The 19,995-nt window shown below is 37.7% G+C and overlaps 1 protein-coding gene across 6 annotated transcripts in view, besides 2 other annotated features; it reads right to left on the bottom strand.

Moving 5' to 3' along the window:
- Nucleotides 1-19,995, bottom strand: part of CSRNP3 (cysteine and serine rich nuclear protein 3) — a 219,710-nt gene that overhangs the window by 86,091 nt on the left and 113,624 nt on the right. For all 6 annotated transcript variants that reach the window (XM_047445908.1, XM_024453155.2, NM_001172173.2 and 3 more), the window contains one exon: nt 8,104-8,274. In XM_047445908.1, the coding sequence (XP_047301864.1) occupies nt 8,104-8,251 (148 nt within the window). In that variant the 5' untranslated portion in view covers nt 8,252-8,274. The remainder of the gene's footprint in view (nt 1-8,103; nt 8,275-19,995) is intronic.
- Nucleotides 8,082-8,131: an enhancer, noted in NCBI's record as "active region_16727". NCBI's record gives its function as "activates an Ori minimal core promoter by ATAC-STARR-seq in GM12878 lymphoblastoid cells {active_cell/tissue: GM12878}" and the evidence as "EXISTENCE:reporter gene assay evidence [ECO:0000049][PMID:35858748]".
- Nucleotides 8,202-8,251: an enhancer, noted in NCBI's record as "active region_16726". NCBI's record gives its function as "activates an Ori minimal core promoter by ATAC-STARR-seq in GM12878 lymphoblastoid cells {active_cell/tissue: GM12878}" and the evidence as "EXISTENCE:reporter gene assay evidence [ECO:0000049][PMID:35858748]".

Raw genomic sequence — 19,995 nt, 5'->3', positions numbered from 1 at the left:
GTTCTATGAGCCATCACACAGTTAACTGACATCACTCAGTTTGATGGAAAATACTAGGATGGAAAGAAGAAGGAAAACCATTGCCAAAGTTTGTGAATGTTTGTGAAACATCAGGAGATTCAGGCCGGGCGCGGTGGCTCACGCCTGTAATCCCAGCACTTTGGGAGGCCGAGGCGGGCGGATCATGAGGTCAGGAGATCAAGACCATCCTGGCTAACACGGTGAAGCCCCGTCTCTACTAAAACTACAAAAAATTAGCCGGGCACGATGGCAGGTGCCTGTAGTCCCAGCTACTCATGAGGCTGAGGCAGGAGAATGGCGTGAACCCCGTGGGGCAGAGCCTGCAGTGAGCCGAGATTGCGCCACTGCACTCCAGCCTGGGCGACAGCGAGACTCTGTCTCAAAAAAAATTAAAAAAAATAAAAAAATAAAGAAACATCAGGAGATTCTGAGGAGATGGCGAAGAGGATGTGTCAAATGAGAGAGACTTGGTGAAGTTTTTATGGAGAAAGAAATATTTGATATGAACCTTGTAGCAGGTATAGAACTTAGTCAGAAATTGGGAGGAAAAAAAGATATTTCTGTTTGAAGGATGGTCTCAGTAAGACCAGAAGAAGTAGCAGTGGTTAACTATTTCTGATTTATAATTACTGGAGTCCACAATCTTGCAGACAGATGATCTGATAACAATTCTATTGTATCAGACAACAGGCCTTATTGCATATCCAAGTGACTATTTTCCAGAGGACTACTAGCTCATAAATATCTTCCTCCACTCATAATTTACTTAACTCCTTTATCTCCAACAATAAACACCTAATGATTCAACTGGTCCATGTCTGAACATGACCTATTTATGATCTGCATGTTTCTACATATGATCTGCAGCTGGTCCCAGATTGTGTACCCCAAGCCAAAGCTAATTGGTTGTTTTCCAGGCATAAGTGGGTGTGAAGAGTCTGGGAACCTCTTAATTTAATAGTAGATTTTCAGAGGCACCTTTATCTATGCTGCTTCCTTTCCTGCTTGGCCTTGACTCTAACTTATGATGCCTATTTTGGATCCTGTTTCTTATAAGCATATTATTACAGGCTAGAAAGGATCTTTTGAGCGTCATGATGTCCTACCTCCTGCTTAAGCAAAGACTTCTTCTAAAACTCTTGTGTTCAGCTTGGCCTGAACACTCCTCCATTGTTTACAAAAGCATTGAGTCAGGGTAGATTGCGACATATGTCTTTGCTAAAGTTAGTTCTCAAACTAATACTACAATGCTGGGTAGACATAATTTATCACTGTATCGCCAAGTTGTATTTACTGTTTGGAATATATCACTTTGACAGGTTTGAAAGGTCCTAGCTCAGAGCCTGTAACATAAGATACCATGTTTGTTGAAATTAAATCTAAATCTTCAATGCATTTTAACTGCTTAGTAAAGAGAACAGGCATGTTCCAGTCATACTTCTAATAAAGTTTAATGTCAAATCTGTTTTCTATTGATTCTTTATGTCTAATCCCATTATGAAATGTGGAGCCAGTAGTAGGGAAATCACACTGGGGAAAGACTGACTTTGGGTGCACATGATGGCATATTTATGCCTTGTGTATTCAGAGAGAAAAGGGAGGGAGGGAAGGAGAGAAGGGAGGGAGGGAGACAAGGAAGGAAGGAAGGAAGGAAGCAAACAGATTGTATCTTAGCTCTTGGGTAAAGTATAAGTACATTTATGAATGTTAATTTCTACTTTTATAAAAGGGCATGATAATTGGCTCCTAATCACACAACACTTTTTGGCTATTAAATGAACTCAAGAATGTGAAAGTGTTTCATAAATTAAAAAAAATCTTAATTCTATTGTAGGACATCCACTGCTTGCATTCATGTGCAATTTAGAATGTGTATCCTTTTACTTCCTGATATTTTCACTTCTTAAATACTATACATTTATTTGTAGAAACACTCTGTTTCAAGAGACATAATGTGTTCCTTTTGGGACTATGGCTCAGCACATAGCTTTTCATTACTTATGTGAAGTGCCAAGAACCTTGAGAGGGCAGAAAAAAAATCATTCCTCTCTAGTTTCTCTGTAGCTCTCCTCTTGACAGTGCTCAAGTACAGGCTGATTGGCTATAGAGCCATAGGGATTTGATGAAACAAAGCGTTTCACAGCAATACAGACTCTGCTGTTTCTATCTCAAGGGAAGTACAAGATATGACCTTGGTTGATGACTGGTAAGTATGCTTGTTGCCTAGCAAAATTCAGAAGTCCAAGGAAAAAGCCATAATGACCTTATTGATTTATATTTTGAAGCTTTTATTACCATAATGTGGTGTGCTACAAATTGGATATTTTAACAGAAAGCTTACAATAGCATGGAATTTTCTACTACCATAGCTGTTGACACATACCAAACAATCTTATCAATTTCTGTATTTGTAATGACAACAAAATGTTATGTTACACAATATGTTAGTGCTTATAAAACACTGGGTACATGAGATATTTTAAATTTGAAAGATTAGCCCATGATGAGTGAGATTTAAATAAGGGCAACCACACTGAAGGACATGAACAGACACTTCTCAAAAGAAGACATTTATGCAGCCAAAAAACACATGAAAAAATGCTCACCATCACTGGCCATCAGAGAAATGCAAATCAAAATCACAGTGAGATACCATCTCACACCAGTTAGAATGGCAATCATTAAAAAGTCAGGAAACAACAGGTGCTGGAGAGGATGTGGAGAAATAGGAACACTTTTACACTGTTGGTGGGACTGTAAACTAGTTCAATCCTTGTGGAGGTCAGTGTGGTGATTCCTCAGGGATCTAGAACTAGAAATACCATTTGACCCAGCCATCTCATTACTGGGTATGTACCCAAAGGACTATAAATCATGCTGCTATAAAGACACATGCACACGTACGTTTATTGCAGCACTATTCACAATAGCAAAGACTTGGAACCAACCCAAATGTCCAACAATGATGGACTGGATTAAGAAAATGTGGCACATATACACCATGGAATACTATGAAGCCATAAAAAGTGATGAGTTCATGTCCTTTGTAGGGACATGGATGAAATTGGAAATCATCATTCTCAGTAAACTATCGCAAGAACAAAAAACCAAACACCGCATATTCTCACTCATAGGTGGGAACTGAACAATGAGAACACATGGACACAGGAAGGGGAACATCACACTCTGGGGACTGTTGTGGGGTGGGGGGAGCGGGGAGGGATAGCTTTAGGAGATATACCTAATGCTAAATGACGAGTTAATGGGTGCAGCACACCAGCATGGCACATGTATACATATGTAACTAACCTGCACATTGTGCACATGTACCCTAAAACTTAAAGTATAATAAAAAAAAAAAAAGAATCCCAATGTGAAATTAAATTGTTTGTTAATGCTACACAAATTTGATAGTCTTCAAAAATCCTTCTTTACTATAAGACAAGTAATCATTTTAAGTAAAAAAAAGTAAAGAAATAGGACTTATCAATAATAATATTTCTGAAAGTTTATAAACATTGATTCACATCCAACAAAACCATTGCAGAGAAGCCCATACCTTAATCTAGACAGCATAATAAATAATAAATGTCCTAAAAATTTGTATATCAATTTTTGGACTAGCAAATAATCTGAAATACATTTCTAGAAACAAGAAACTCTTTTAGCTACTCCTCTCACACTGGCTAAAATGCTTAGATCACAGGATGGGCATGGTGGCTCTTGCCTGTAATCCTGACACTTTGGGAGGCAGAGGCAGGGGCATTGTCAGAGCCCAGTAGTTTGAGACCAGTCTGGGCTACATGATGAAACCCCATCTCTACAAAAAAATACAAGAATTGGCCTGGTGCAGTGGTGTGCACCTGTGGTCCCAGCTACCTGCATGACAGTGAGACACTGTCTCAAAACAAACAAACAAAAAAACCTCAGATCTTTACTTCCTTTCGTCTTTCTTTTTTTCTTTTCCTTTCTTTCTTTCTTTCTTTCTTTCTTTCTTTCTTTCTTTCTTTCTCTCTCTCTCTTTCTTTCTTTTTCTTTCTTTCTTTTTGTTTTTTGTTTTTGTTTTGCTTTGAGACAGGGTCTTGCTCTGTCACCCAGGCTTGAGTGCAGTGGTGCAATCATGGCTCACTGCAGCCTCAACCTCCTGGGCTCAAGTGATTCTCCCAAGTAGCTGGGACCACAGGCATGCACCACCATACTTGGCTATTTTTCTTTTTAATTTTTTTAGAGATGGGGATTTGAGACCCATGGTGGTCTCAAATGCCTGGGCTCAAGCAATCCTCCTGCCTCACCCTCCCAAAGTGCTGGGATTATAGTCATGAGCCACTGTGCCCAACCTCTCAGATCTTTTCTACAAGAAATATTCCAGGCAGAAATTTTGTCTTTTGAGTCTTTACTATTTTTTCCCACTTTATGTCTCTCTTCCTAATGTGAATATAGTGAAAAAAGCACTATTAAATTAAAAGGGCACTTTTTATTAAATCTTTTCTTGAATTATTTTTAAAAAGCAAGAAAAATCTCTGCCAGATTATATTTAATACAAAGCTAAAACAGCATGTTAGTAAACTAACCATTGCCACTACCACTGATATTAAATGATGTGCTGAAACACTTCAATGACTTCTTAGACATCGTAAAATAAGTCTACTTTCTTCAATGAAAAAAATAATCTCGGCTGAACATAACTTATAACAAAGTCTATATTTGCTGACTAATATATACCTTAGCTCACCAGGCCATTTCAATCTGCTGTTTTGCAAACATAAACACAAGATAAACTACAGTTATAATTTTTAGCAGTTTAAGTTGGACACCTTGTTGTGAGAATACATATAAAATTAACAGAAATAAAAATTAATAAATATAAAAATTCATCCATAATTTTAATTCCTCAACAAATCAAATTGTTTCCAATTTTTAGGACAACTTACCATTCTTTACCTTTGTGCATGTACAGACTTAGACTTTGCCTGACAGTATAGATAAAATATTGTCTTCTGCTTTTCTTACTTATCATTATTTCACAAACATTGTACATATTGCCAAAAGGTCTTCATAACTATCATGAAAATAAATTAATTGAATGAGTTACCGTAACTTAATGGATCATTTCCTCACTCTTAGGTTACCTTTCTCTCTCTCCTCCCCAACCCCTCTTGTTTGGGACTACTATCAACCACAAATATTTTCATTTATATAGTTTTCACCTTGTTTTTAATATTTCTCTCTTCAGATAAATTCTCTGAAGTAGACACTTATGAATGCTTTTATGGCTCTTGTATTTCCGAAGTGCTTTCTAAATATCACTGCCATTCATAGCAATGTGTGTGCCTACAATCTGTACTGCAACCTTCACCAGCACTTAGGTATTAGTATTTTTTATTGGAGAAATGAGTACCGATTTCAAGGGATGAAATCTCTGTGATTTCATACTAATGAAATCTCATTAGCATTTTTTAATCTGCCTCTTTGTTACTATTGTTGTTAAATGCTTTAAAACATTTGTTAATTATATTTCCTACTATGTGGATTTTCTTTGGAGATGTGTGTCTTCGTGTTTATCTCAAGAAATTACATGTACTTTTGCTATACTCTATCCAGAAAATAATGTAAATATTTTTTCCAATATAAACTGTTTCACTTTGGGCTTTTTTTAAATAGCAAATAAGTTTAATACTTTTACATCATTAAATATATTAAGTATTTTCCAATGTGATTATTTCTTCTTCTCATATCAAAGTTCATATAGTGATTCTACTAAATGTCTGGCAAAATGTAACTTTCCTCATTATTAAAAAAAATTGTCCATGTAATCTATCTGGTATTTTGGCATATGTTGTGAGACGTGAGTCTAAATCACTTCTTTTTCAAATTTCCTAAGACCATAACCATTTCTTAAATAGTCTTTCCCTTTCTCATTATCTTATAATGTTTTCTTCTTATATATAAAATTTTCATATATAACATGTTGGGATTTTCTATGCATTCCTAGGTAGGGCACATTAGAAATGCCTGGGCGCCCTAGAAATGCCAGTTGAAGATTTTGTTTTGGTTTTACTCTTATATTTAGAAATTAATGTTGAAACCATTAATATCCAGACCTTTATATCCAGAAACATAATCTGCCTCTTCACTAATTAAGTCTTCCTTTATAACTCATGAGAAATAACATTTTAAAGATATGTCCAATGTTATATAATTAAGGGGCGGAATAAGACCATGCAAAAGGTAGAGGCTATGTGGTAGGACATGTATATATATCCAGGCTCAACTCCTGTGTGATCTTTTGCCAGACGCTTAGCCTCTCTGAGCCTCAGTTGTTTCCTTTGTAAATTGGAGGTAGTACTACTTACTTTCAGAATTGCTGTAAGGAGTATGGATAATGTCTATAAAGCTATTGGAGCATAGTCTGTATCCAATAAATGTAAGCTATGATCATAATTTTTAATTTAACATGTGCCTAGTACTTGACATTTTACAACGTTTTTTCATGTGTATTAACTCACTTGCTCTGTCTGATCTTTGCAATACCATGTGAGATAATGATGTTATTATCACTACTAGTATTAAGACCCAAAACATAAATACATCTCTTCTTCTGAGTCAAAAGCACAAGCTCATTTCATACCATCATGATATGTGTAAATGTATTTGTAGACCACCTACATCACACAATAACTTTATCCCTGAATATTTTATAAATTTTTCTGCTATAATAATTATAATCATCTTTTCATCATATTGTCTAATTAGTTGTGCTTGCTTAATGGAATGCTATTGATTTTACTATATTTATTTCATGTTCAACAGCTATTGAGTTCCTTATTACCTCTTAAAAATATGTTTAAATCATTTAGTTGTTTGAGTTGCTACATTGCCAAAGTAAATTCTTTGTTATAGAATCATATATTAATAACATTAACTAATTGGAAAGTAAAAAACCAAGACCAGTTATCTGTCATGATATTAAGACATATTAAAATCTTCTTGTTTAAGGAACATAAATTTTAAAAAGATTATTTAACTATGCTAGTCAGTTTCCTTTAGACTATAGATTACATTACCTTAAGAATTTTTCATATCAGTCCTTCAAACCTCCCTTTATCTTGTCTGACAGAAGGGCTGACATTACAATGTGGCAAAAAAAAAAAAAAAAAAAATCAAAAAGAAAACATAGGCTGGATGCAGTGGCTCATGCCTGTAATCCCAGCACTTTGGGAGGCTGAGGTGGTGGATCACCTGAGGTCAGGAGTTTGAGATCAGCCTGACCAATATGGTGAAACGCCATCTATACTAAAAATACAAAAAAATACAAAAAATAAAATAAAATAATTAGTTGGGTGTGGTGCCATGCACCTGCAGTCCCAGCTACTCTGGAGGCTGAGACAGGAGAATCACTTGAACTTGGGAGGAGGGGGTTGCAGTGAGCCAAGTTCATGCCACTGCACTCCAGCCTGGGCGACAGAGCGAGACTCCATCTCAACAAAAACCTTAAAAATACAATAAATAAAGCATAGATTTTTATTTTTCTTGTTGGGCTTTAAATACTGGAGAAGAGAGACTAGAGGAATTACTAGGAAAGAGCCATTAGACTGTACACACTTGCACAATTGGGGGAGACTTGCTGCCTTCACATTTCTGCTTAATCCCTGGCTGCCTAAACTCCTTCTCATCATAATCTAGACTCTCCATTCCTTAATAATGCCTTTTAAAATGTTTTCTCCCAGAACATCATTTCAATTATGAAAGGATACTTTTTTTTTGAAACTGGATTTATTCTTTGTCTTCCCTCATCTATTCCCAGAGTACTAGGTGTTTACTTGGGAAAGTATTAATAATGTAATGTGATCTTTAAATTAAATTAGTTAATTAATACAATCAAATAATCCACTGCAAAAAAGTATTCTAAATAAAGGAATCTACTGAGTCACCCGAAAAATATTTCATTTTTGGGTAAGTGTTCTTTGTATTTGGTTGATGGGAAAATATATATAGCTAGCATGAAAGGTAAAAATAAAAATGACACAATTAGTTTTGCTGTAGAACCAGACAATTGACTTCGGTTCTGATTTCAGTACTCACGGGTAAAATGACTAGAAGTGGATGGATTGACACTGTCCCCACTGTCAGCACTTTCACTGCTGGAAACTTCATCATCTGATTCCCTCACAGAGGAGCAGGGTGAGGAGCCGTCAACTTCTTCAAACTTCCTCTTTAAAATTCCACTCATCGCTGCAGTGCTGTCACATGTACCTGTAACAGGAAGGAGAGCAACAGAGCATTGAAATATTTGACCGCTGAACGTGTAGCCAAGGTCTCCAGAGTCATTTTTATGTGGCTTTTTATACATGAGCTGAGCTATAGCTTTCCCTTGAAAGGATCTTTAGCAGATTTTTTTTTCTATTTTCAAATTAACAAAAATAAGATTAAATTAAATATGAGTATTTAACCATTTGATTACCAAAAGGTTTTTATATTTTGAGACATAGTTCATTTTAATGTAATATCATTATTCCTTTTTATTGGCAAATTGAGAAAATCCACCTGAGTCCAAGAAAATCTGTAAAGAAAAATAATGCCAATGTCTCCTGAAGTCCTTGATTACAACATTATATGAAATTCAGCTGGAACACAAAAAAGTATGCACGACCTTTGTACTCAAGTTCTAAAATTCAAGAAACCCAATTAGCTGAGCACAATGAAGCATGTAAAAACAGTTCTAAATTTTAGGTAGTTTCCATTTCAGTATTGCAATGGGTGACATGCATCCCCATGCTACCTGCTTACTGAAGCCCTGGCCACTTTTTCAGAAATTTCCTAAGGCTATTTACCTGGAAGATAGCAATAATTGAATTGAAAGGCCTATGGGTAGAGAATGGATATGGTTTCTTCTAAATAATTTATCTTGGGTTAATGGACTTTCCCCTTTCCCTGGGCTGACCTTTCTCCACCTTCTCCATTTTACCATGAACTGGCACAGTCAAGTAAGGAGCACAAACTTTCTTTGCAGAAGGAAAGATATTTTAGGGTATAAACATTTTATAAATTATCTTAGATACATGTATGTGATCTTACATTGCTAAATTACATTAACTGAAAGTACAGTATTTAACTGAAAGGTTAAATATCCATTATCCAAAATGGTTAAGATAAGAAGTGCTCTGAATTTTGAATTTTTTTTGGATTTTGAAATGTTTGTATCTACATAATGAGGTACCTTGGGGATGGCACCCAAGTCTAAAGACAAAATTCATTTATGTATATCTTATTCATATAACCTGAAGGCAATTTCCTAGAGTATCTTTGATAATTTTGTGAACAAAACAAAGTTTTGACTCTGTTTTGACTGTGACCCATCAGATAAGGTCAGGTATGAAAATTTTCACTTGTGGCATCATGTAGGTGCTCAAAAAGTTTTGAATTTTAGAACATTTTAGATTTCAGATTTTCAGATTAGGGATGTCCAATCTTTATTAATAAGGCAATTCCATGCATTTTATATTCCACTTAATTTATTTCAGTTGATTCTAACTCACACCTGAGGAATTGAAGACATTGTCTCCTTTTTCCGCCAGAGTATAGTCAATCCTATAAATCAGGGGGAAGCAAGACCCTTAACACTATTCTGAGACCCCCTTAGTTATATTATCTCTGTACTGCTCTTGGAAATCTCTGAAATCACTTCTTTTCTGTGCAGATCACAGAGCAAGCAGCGTGTTCAGATTCCCCGAGCTGGGCCAACTCTCCAAGGAAGGTCTAAGTCAGTATTTTGCAAAGTGTGCTACCTGAATGAGCAGCAGTAGCATTACCTGGGAGTGAGATGGTTAGAAATGCAAATTCTCAGCTCCCATCCCAGATCTACAAATCAGAAATTCCCAGGAAGTAGGGCCCAGCACTCTTTACTTTGTGAAGCCCCAAATTGGGTGATTTTGCAACACACTCAAAATTGAGGATCACTTGTGTAATTTAGCATGCTTTTTAGCCTCTTCATTCATAAACATGGCTCTTTCTTGGATGTGGTCACATACCAGCCCTAGATAGTCACATAAACCAGCACTGAATTCCTAGTCAAAAATCTCTTCTTTGACCTTTCCTGGTGTAATTCCTAGCAAAATTTAGGAATTTTATTAGTCTGTTCTCATGCTGCTATGAAGAAACATCCAAGACTGGGTAATTTATAAAGAAAAGAGGTTTAGGCCGGGCGCGGTGGCTCACGCCTGTAATCCCAGCACTTTGGGAGGCCGAGGCGGGCGGATCACGAGGTCAGGAGATCGAGACCATCCCGGCTAAAACGGTGAAACCCCGTCTCTACTAAAAATACAAAAAATTAGCCGGGCGTAGTGGCGGGCGCCTGTAGTCCCAGCTACTTGGGAGGCTGAGGCAGGAGAATGGCGTGAACCCGGGAGGTGGAGCTTGCAGTGAGCCGAGATCCCGCCACTGCACTCCAGCCTGGGCGACAGAGCGAGACTCCGTCTCAAAAAAAAAAAAAAAAATGAAAAGAGGTTTAATTGACTCACAGTTACACATGGCTGGGGAGGCCTCAAGAAACTTACAATCATGGCAGAAGGGGAAGCAAACACATTCTTCTTCACATGGCAGAAGAGAGAAGTTCCAAGAAAAAGGGAAAAAGCCCCTTATAAAACCATTAGAGAACTTGTGAGAACTCACTGTCAGGAGAACAGCATGAGGGTAACTGCCCCCATGATTCAATTACCCCCCCAACACATCCCTCCCATGTCATGTGGGGATTATGGGAACTACAATTCAAGATGAGATTTGGGTGGGAATACAGCCAAACAATCATTCTGCCTGTGACCCCTCCCAAATCTCATGTCCTCACATTTCAAAACACAATCATGGCTTTCCAACGGCCCCCCTAAGGTCTAGGCTCATTCCAGCATTAACCCAAAAGTCGAAGTCCAACGTCTCATCTGAGGCAAGGCAAGTTCCTTCTGTTTATGAGCCTGTAAAATACAATGGGGCTACAGGCATTGGGTAAACACACCTGTTCCTAATGGGAGAAATTGTCCAAAACAAAGGGGCTACAGGCCCATGCAAGTCTGAAATCCATCAAGGCAGTACTTAAATCTTAAAGTCCAAATTACAATAGGGTAGCCATTAAGCCTTAAAGTTCCAAAATGATCTCATTTGACTCCATGTCTCACATCCAGGGCATGCTGATGCAAGAGGTGGTCTCCCACAGCCTTGGGCAACTCTGCCCCTGTGGCTTTGCAGGGTACAGCTCCCCTCCTGGCTGCTTTTACGGGCTGACATTGAGTGTTTGTGGCTTTTCCAGGTGCATGGTGCAAGCTGTCAGTGGATCTTCCATTTTGGGTTCTGGAGGACAGCAGCCCTCTTCTCACAGTTCCACTAGGCAGTGCCCCAGTGGGGACTCTGTGTGGGGGCTCCAACCCCAAACTTCCCTTCTGCACTGCCCTAACAGAGGGTATTCATGAGAGCTTTGCCCCAGCAACAGACTTCTGCCTGGACATAGAGGCATTTCCATACATCCTGCGAACCCTAGGCAGAGGTTCCCAAGCCTCAATTCTTGACTTCTGGGTACCCACAGGCTCAACACCATGTGGAAACCACCATGGCTTTGGGCTTGCACCTTCTAAAATAATGGCCTGAGCTGTACTTTGGCCGCTTTTAGCTAAGGCTGGAGCTGAAGCAGCTGGGACACAGGGGACCATGTTCCCAGGCTGCACAGAACAGGGGGTCCCTGGGCCCACCGCAGGAAACCATTTTTTCCTCCTAGGCCTCTGGGCTTGTGATGGGAGGAGCTTCCCTGAAGGTCTCTGACATGCCCTGGAGACATTCTCCCCATTGTCTTGGTGATTAACATTCAGCTCCTCATTAATTATGCAAATTTCTGCACCAGGCTTGAATTTCTCCCCAGTAAATGGGTTTTTCTTTTCTATCACATCATCAGACTTCAAATTTTCCAACCTTTATGCTCTACTTCCTTTTGAATGCTTTGCCACTCAGAAATTTCTTCTGCCAGATATCCTAAATCATCTCTCTCAAGTTCAAAGTTCCACAGATCTCTGGGGCAGTGACAAAATGCTGCCAGTCTCTTTGCATAGCAAGAGTGACCTTTACTCCATTTCCCAACAAGTTCCCATCTCCATCAGAGTCCTCCTGAGGCTGGGCTTCATTGTCCATATCACTATCAGCATTTTGGTCAAAGTGTTCAACAAGTCTCTAGGAAGTTCCAAACTTTCCCATATCTTCCTGTCTTTGAGCTCTCCAAGTCTCTAGGAAGTTCTAAACTTTCTCACATTTTCCTATCTTCTTCTGAGCCCTCCAAACTGTTGCAACCTCTGCCTGTTACCCAGCCCCAAAGTCACTTCCACAGTTTCAGTATCTTTATAGCAGCACCCCACTCCCTGTGGTACCAATTTACTGTATTAGTCTAGTCTCATGCTGCTATGAAGAAATACCTGAGACTAGGAAATTTATAAAGAAAAGAGGTTTAATTGACTCACAGTTCCACATGGCTGGGTAGGCCTCAGGAAACTTACAATTATGGCAGAAGGGGAAGCAAACACGTCCTTCTTCACATGGCTGCAGAAGAGAAAAGTGCCGAATAGAGGGGGAAAACCCCTTATAAAACCATCAGATCTCATGAGAACTCACTCACTATCACAAGAACAGCATGAAGGTAACGGCCTCCATGATTCAATTACCTCCCACCGGGTCCATCCCATGACATGTGGGGATTATGGGAACTACAACTCAAGATGAGATTTGGGTGGGAACACAGCCAAACCATATCAGTGTTGGATGTTTCATAAGTATTTATTACTAATTTCAACTTACTTCATTCAATACAATAGTAACTATTGTATATGTGTTTGACTTCTTGAGTGGAATAGGGGATACAAAAGAAAGTTAGATGGTTACCTGCCCTCAAGAAGCAAACATTCACTATGCTGGGCTCCATCAAATTAAGAATACTCCCAAATTCATGTTCTACTCAATTGCTTTATTAATCCATGTCTTTCTGCATGAATGTTATATTAACAATGGAGATAACTGACAGCAATAGGAAGATACATCATTGTCCACTCTTTTGAAAATAAAATCTCTATTTCTACTCTGATTTTACCACTATTCAGATTAGCATATTATTTTCTCCATCTTAAAGAGTGTGAAATGCATAAAATGTTCATGCATATCTGAGTAGGGCGAAGAGAAAAAAGATATTTTAAGTAAAGTCTTGAAATAAAAGTAGGACAGGATATAAATTTTAAAATGGTTCACTTCAAACAAGATGCAAAGTAATTCATAAGGGAGAGACTCCAAGACACAAAGTAATACAAGATGGAAACCTATGTTTAAAAAGTACATTTTTATAATAAGATATTGCAATGGGAGCAGTTAGAAACCATGTTCTTCTTCCCCCCATACTCCCCCAGCTTCTTTAGGAAAGGTAGACTTCTCAAGAATCAAGGACACTTAATTGGGCTACAGGGATGCATGTCACAACATTACAAAATGTGGTACTTGGTACTCTTCTTTTCCTTTCTCACCTCCCCAAGAATGAGAAGGAAAATTTTTGAAGAGATAATAAGATAATTAAAAAGCCTCTTTTTTCCTTTTAGTTAAATTTGGGGATGTCAAGAGCTGAAGAAATGGAGTTATAGGTTCATGTAAGTTCTGTCTAGGTCTTTAAAATTGAAAGAGACTGAACTACAGTCAGGTCAAAGGAAGTGAGGAACTGTTTGCTAAGAGTGTGATCAGTATTTAAGCTAACAATTAAACATTCATATAATTACTGGGAGTCATATTCTTAACATACACCTACACCCATGAAACACCTGTTAAGTACAAAATTGCTTTGTGTAGCAATGAAGTAGAATACCTGTCCAATTTCATTGCCTTTAAAAAATATTCCCTATGTGACTATAACAAAATGTCACAACAAAATTTGAAGGCCAAATGGTCCATTGTTTACCAGTATGTAACCCTTAATCTAGACTTAATAGAGGAGTGTTAAAGGGAGATGTGGTTTTCTTCTATATCACCTACATTATCTTTCTAGGAAAGAAAAGAATATAAGGATTTAGTGAGAAGGCCCTATTAATAAAGTGTTGTATACCCGATTTGTTTATACTGTGTTGGAGGATTGCAATGTATGACTGACTAGATACAGAGCCAGGTGAGGATAATTAATACCTATCCCTTAGCTGCTGTACTCCTTAAATACCTACATATTATATTTTTGTTCCTAAAGATGAGGCCAAATTAAACTTGGTAGTATACAGCAAATGAAAATGTGCCAAACATTACAAATTGGCTTTATTTAATTTATTTATTTTTATTTGTTAGTTTTGAGACAGGGTTTCTGTCGCCTAGTCTGGAGTGCAGTGGCATGATCATGGCTCACTGTAGCCTCAACCTCCTGAGCTCAAGGGATCCTCCCACCTCTGCCTCACCAGTAGCTGAAACTACAAGCATTCACCACCACCATGCCCACCTAAGTTTTCAAAAAATTTTTTGTAGAGATAGGGCCTTGCTATGTTGCCCAGGCTGGTCTCCAACACCTGGCCTCAAGCAACCCTCTCACCTCGACCCCCCAGAGTGCTGGGATTGCAGCCATCAGCCACCACGCCTGGCCCTAAAGTTGGCTTTTATAGCACCAAAGCCCAAAGAACAGAGGTAAAGTTGGACAGGCATTAATCTATTCTAAATATGAAGAGCTGAAAGTCTAAGTGTAGAAAACAGCCATTTTATCACAGCTATCGTTGTCCAATTCATGAAACACATGCTAGTCAAGGGCACCACCATTTCTCACTTAGACTAGGCCAAGGGCCTCCCAATTATTCTCTCGCATCCACTGCTGCTAGCTTTCAATGCGTTTTCAAGGTTGCAGGCAGAATGATAAATTTAAAATGCAAATCTGATCATGTCAGTCTATGGCTTAAAACTCTTAAGTAGCTTCAGATTGCCTTAGGATAAAGTTCAAAATCCTCAAGATGGCTTATAAAGTCCTTAACAATCTAGCTTGTCTAACCTCTTCATCCTCATTTGAGCCACTGGCCTTGTCATTGATATTTCAGCTCTAATAATCTTGCAGTTACTCCAACTTGCAATTTCTCTCTGTCTTTAGGACATTTGATATACCATTCCTTCTGATCTACTTTTTAATTTATTTTCATAGCATTTACCACCTTCTAAATCCGTATTATTTATTTATGTATTTCTATGCTTATTACTTACTGTTTTCATCTCCTGATAAAAAAATACAAGAGCAGGGATCTTTGTTTCTTTACAAATGTTTCAAGTGCCTAGAACAATGCCTTGTATATAATAGGTGCCTCAATACATATTTGTTCAGTGAATTAATATAAGCCTTTAATTTCCATAATTTAATATCCGTTTTTTTCTGCTAGACTGAAAGCTCCATGAAGTCAGAAATCCTATTCATCTCATTTACCACTCTAACTCCCCTAACAACATATTTGGTTGAATGAGAATGAAAATGAGAAATGAAACTGAGCCCAAAGCATCATACAATTTTTTTTTGCTCACAAGCAACACAAAAGCCAACTCTAGACTAACTTAAGCAAAAGACTTCTGTTGGGAAAACACTGGACTAGTTCATGCAATCTACGATACAGCTTGAAACCAAAACTCAGGAAACAGGAACTAGGGCAGCTTCTGGGATTATGGCTATAAAAATTCCTTCTCTGGAGCTCTGCAATTACCAGATTTAAGCTCCAGCAACTTCTCTCTGTGTCACAGTTCAACTGTAATGTTCCAAAGGCTGAGCAACTTTTTGACCTATCTTGGGTCAGGTGTCTGCCCCTTGATCATTCAACTACGTGGCCATTAGGCCGAGAGGGAGACATTGTGAACAGGGGGCCACCTGGCTGGGTACTACTCCAGAGACTCAATTGCATTTCAAAGCCAGTATCATTTCCTCATCTGTCACCAATTTATCTTTTTTGTGCATTTATCAGTATAATCCATGAATTCACGTCTTGGCCACATTCTCAGGGATTTCCCTTTCCCTGCACCCACACTTCCCTGTCTATTGCAAAATTTAAATAAGAACTACTTTATTTTAAAACATTAAATAAGCATGTTATGATCTCAGAAATCTGTTATTCTTCACTAACATATATGATTTGTTTAGCATTTACATTAGATATGACCATTGCTCAGAAGCCTGTGAGCACATTTATGAAAAAGTAGCAGAAAACTGTTAATGTTTCCATCTCTGTCTGCAAGAAAAAACTAATAAAGAAACAACACTAGATTTTCTGTGATTATAAGTACAATTGTTTCATTTAATATATTTCTGTCCTATTGGGAAGGCAAAGTTAATGGTGAGTTCAAAGGGAAAATATCAGAAGCCAGAAGCATATTAGGTGGAGGGTTTGATTAAAAATGTCAAATCAAGAGGACGGATAAAAACATTCATTTTAATGCCTGTGGAAGAATGGCTGAAATGAACCTTTGGGTATATCTTGAAATCTTGTTTATTTTACTCTTTTTTGACAGTCTAAAAATTCCATGGCTTTCATAGATAACTCATTTAGTTCTTACTATCCCACTGATATTCATCTAGTGTTTAATCCTTTTTTCTTCTTATATTTTGCCCCTATTTCCTGTTCTGTTATCTATCATAAGGAAATGACCACAGAAAATATGTCTTAAGAACACCATAAATCCCCATGTCTGAGGAGCAGGTAACACGATTTGCAGAAGAACCTCTTAGGGTTGTCAGATTTAGCAAATAAAAATATGGGACACCCAGTTAAATTTAAATTTCAGATTAAAAAAATTGACATTTGGGACATACTTACACTAAAATTTATCTGAAATTCAACCTTAACTGAGAAATCTACTTTTTTGTTGTTTTTTGTTAATCTGACAACCTTCATTCGTTCTCTTGGTGAGAAAGTAAATGACTGTGCAATTAACCAAAACATCTAAATAGGAAAATCCACCTGGATTAGAACCACGTACATGAAAATTCCTGCCCTTGAAACCCAGTAAATAAAACATGTAAAGTCATTTGGGTGAATCATGAATTTACCAAAGGTGAATCATGAATTTACCAAACAATCTGAAAAAGTTTGAGTGCTGAGTGATGGTTAATAGATTAAGCACAGGCCTGCCTACCACTGATGTAGGAAGAAATGAACTTGACAGGAAGTAACTCTGGCATGGCAATAATTTTCTTATATGGTAATGAGATGTTCACTTTAATGAGATGTTATTTCTTTCCTGGCCGGAAAATGAAAGGAAGGTGAGCTGTGAGTCCTGGGTTCATCTGATCCGTAGGATCCTTATTCCATCACACTGTGTAGTGCATGAGCCTTAGGGGGTATTCTATCAGGAACAATAGGAGGCATCAAGAGCCCCTCTGTCCACTTTTACTTGGGAGATTCGGTTTATCCTTTGCATTGCTGATTTTGTATTTAAGCAAAGTGAGAGTAACTTTTAACTGCAAGGATCATTAACAAAGATTCTTCCACCTTTGTAATTTGGCAAAGGTGGAAGATTTTAGATCAACAGGCATGTTAAACAACTTGCATTACAAGGTGGCATGAGAGGAGGGATTTTTTGTGATTTGTGAAAGTGCAAAATAATCTATTGTGCATTCTTCCAGTAAATTCTTCCAGCAAGCACAAAACACCAAGAAACTATGATAAAGTTCTATTCTAATGAACTTAATAAGGTAAGGGTGCTTGCTTCAATCAGCAATGGGCTGAGGGCCCAAGAAACACCAGTGTCTGGATTGAGTTGCATAGGAAAAGCTTTTCTTCTTTAGCTTTACTCAGAAAGGAACGTAATTTTGCTGTTTCTTCTGATTGCTTCACCAAATTCAAATGGTGACATGAGAGACATTGTAAACAAGCTGATGATAATACCTGTGAGTGGCTCATCTGTGATAGCAGGTCGGAAGAGCTTAGCTGGCAAAAGTAAAAATATTCACAACGTCAAATTATCAACCAGATGGTCTACTGGGCCAGATAGAAGATGAAGAGGACAGTGGCTGAATTGATGGTATATAGGTTTTATTACAATATTCAAGAAAAGAGAACTCAGTTAAAAAAAAAAAAAAACACATTATGCTATGATACTTTTATAATTTTGAGAAATAGCTTTAGTTAACCAAATGTTCCTAAATACCTGAACAAATGTTTAACTGTTAGTTTAAATTAAATCCTTTTCATTCCCAACTTTTTAAAATCATGATTTTTAGTAATCTATAATGTTCTGTCCTTATACTATTATGTTAATCAAACAGTGAATATAGTCTAAACCAAGCTTGTCCAACCTGTGATCCATAGGCTGTAATGTGGCCCAGGACAGCTTTGAATGCGGCCCAACACAAATTTGTAAACTTTCTTAAAACATTATGAGTTTTTTTGTTTTTTGTTTTAGCTCATCATCTATCCTTAGTGTTAGTATATTTTACGTGTGGCACAAGACAATTCTTCTTTTCTAATATGGCCCATGGAAGCCAAAAGATTGGACATCCCTGGTCTAAACTCTTTGCTAAATAAACTAATCATCATTTTAAGCAGTTGCCCTTCTAAAAGAAATGACTTCTTTAGTAGGTTTCATAAAATCAGTGCAACTCTGAATTTTTTGCAGGCTTTTGACTCATTCTATAAGCTTTTTGTTGTTTAATCTTTAAGCAAATTCTCTTCCTTCCTTTTCTTTTTCTTCTTACTCATTGCACTCTCATATTCTTTGCACAGGAGCCTGTAGAGTTGGGATAGAAGAAAAAGGCCATCTCTTCAAAGCTGAGTACTATGTGACATCATATTTCACTGACATCACCCATAATGGAAATAAATTCCAAGTGTCATTTAGAAGGCCCTCTCTTTGCTACTACCTAGCTCTTTGTTTCAGTCATGTGATCCTAGCCTCAGCTGCTTTCCCTAAGGGTGCTTCAAACCCAGCAGAGAAGTTGTGTCGGAGGGGTTCAAAGCAGAGCGACCCCATCTTGAGTGAGGGCTAGAAAAATGAGGCTGGGACTTGCTGGGCTGCATTCCCAGAAAGCTAGGTATTCGTAGCCTCTAGGTGTTTACAGTTAAGGGAACAGATTGATAATGTTTACTAAATAGACTCAGAGTTGGGAGTGTCCTAATATCCTGACATCTTAAGAACAAAAGCATTCCTAATTTTGCTTTAAAGATAATAATATTGATTCATGAAAAACATAGTAATTAAGAAAATTAATCCTTTATCACAAACCCTTGTAACAGAGCACATCTCCCCATGATCTTTTTGTTCATCCTATTTATACAAGCATTGTACCTAAGGTGGACGCGTTCCTCCTCTTACTTTCGGAAGCCCTACCCTGTCTATGAGTAGCTATTCTTTCACCACTTTACTTTCTTTTGCTTTGCACTGTGGACTCACCCTGAATTCCTTCTTGTGTGAGATCCAAGAACCCTCTCTTGGAGTCTGGATAGGGACCCCTTTCCTGTAACAGTTGTACATGCTTGTGTTTGTTTAATTTGTTCTATTATTTGTTCCCAACGTTTAACTTACTGTCATTTATGACATACTTCTTCTTATTATTATTTACTAGTGTAAAACATGAAGACCGGGGAAGTGCAAGGCAGGAGACCATTATGTAAAGAGATATGGGAAGAGGAAGAGGACTTAAATAGATCTACTATGTGCCAGTTACTTTACAATCTTTATCTTACTGAATCTTTACAACAATCTTGCCATGTTACCCTCATTTTACAGTTAAAGAAACCAAGTTGCAGAGAGATTAACTACTTTGTCAAAGTTTCTTAGCAAGCAGGATTAGAAGTCAATACATCTATACTATGCTTCCTCCCACTGGGGTCTTTTCCAGCAAATCACAGATGGTAACTACAATGCATAATATTTTTAACTTTTAAAAAAGTGCACATGCATGTTGGGGGATGCTCCTTTCAAAGCCATATTGAATGTAATTGTTTGTTGGAAGGCATGACTTTTAGGTCATTC

The sequence above is a fragment of the Homo sapiens genome, chromosome 2 (genome assembly GCF_000001405.40).
Source record: "Homo sapiens chromosome 2, GRCh38.p14 Primary Assembly".
In the NCBI taxonomy this organism is placed as follows: domain Eukaryota; kingdom Metazoa; phylum Chordata; class Mammalia; order Primates; family Hominidae; genus Homo; species Homo sapiens.
Note: the sequence above shows the minus strand (reverse complement) of the source record. Positions and strands in the feature narration are given on the sequence as shown.